Genomic DNA, 1,356 nt, shown 5'->3' on the forward strand with positions numbered 1-1,356 from the left:
CTCTTCCTTTTACTCACTTTCGCACTTAACAGTATGTTTTTGAGGCGTAATCATTGGCTCTCTGCAGACAGAGTTTCTGGCTTCCGATTGCTGCAAGAAATCTGGTGCTGTTAAGAGCTCACATTGACTGTCCCTCTAGTGAGGACACCTCGGCCACCCAGCAGAAGCAGCGCCATGATGAATATCCTGAGACATGCTCCTTTGTGCACAGAGGTGCATATTTCTTTTGATATACACACATATACATATATATAGATATGCAAAGATGTGTAATATGATATTTCTCTCCTGAATTTCACTTAACACTGCCTGGCTGCTTTCCAAATGGCTGCACTAGTCCACACACCAACGAGCTCCCATTCCTCCCACATCCTCACCACCAATTGCTTTTTCTCCAGCATTCTAGCTCCGGCCAACTGGTGCGGGGAATTTGTATTTCTCTGATATTTTAATCTGTACTGCTCTCATTGCTGGTGAGGTTGAGAATCTCTTCATATGCTCATTAGCCTTTGAGCTTCTCCCTCTGTGACAGGCCTGCTCGTATGCATCGCCTATTTTTCTATTGTATTAATCTTCTTTTTCTGTGTGATTTACAAAAGTTCTTTATGGTTTCTGAATACCAGGCTTTTGTCAGGTATAGAAAGCGCCTGGAATCCCAGCACTTTGGGAGGATGAGGTGGGTGGATCACGAGGTCAGGAGATTGAGACCATCCTGGCTAACACAGTGAAACCCCATCTCTACTAAAAATACAAAAAATTAGCCAGGCGTGGTGGCATGCATCTGTAGTCCCAGCTACTTGGGAAGCTGAGGCAGGAGAATCACTTGAACCCGGGAGGCAGAGGTTGCAGTGAGCTGAGATCGCACCACTGCACTCCAGCCTGGGCGACACAGTAAGACTCGGTCCACAAAAAAAAAAAAAAAAAAAGAAAAGAAAAAGAAAAAGAAAATGGATATGTTTTCTCCTGTCTGTTCATCCAGTCTCTGTTGCTAGTTACTGAACAGAAATCTTTAGTAAAGCCAGTGACATCATTTTTCTTGTGTTTTTTTTGGACTTTTTTTAATAAAGATTTTCCTCATCAAGACTCTAAAGATATTCTTCTGCATTTTCTCCCAGTTTTATAGTTTTAAAGCTTTCTTCTAGCTTTATAACTTTGCCTTTATAGTTAGGCATGTAATGAATTGGGAGTCTTAAAAATTTTAATTTTGTGGAGTACTGGATTGGGTTTCTATGATTCTATTTCACACCAACAGAAAAAGTGGGAATGAATCACCAGGGAAAGGGCTGGGACATGGCCACTGCCCCAGAGTTTAGTGTGCAACCCTTCGTCCAGCTCAGAGGATCCGGAGCCTCTTCC

The sequence above is a fragment of the Homo sapiens genome, chromosome 1 (genome assembly GCF_000001405.40).
Source record: "Homo sapiens chromosome 1, GRCh38.p14 Primary Assembly".
NCBI classification, from domain to species: Eukaryota; Metazoa; Chordata; class Mammalia; order Primates; family Hominidae; genus Homo; species Homo sapiens.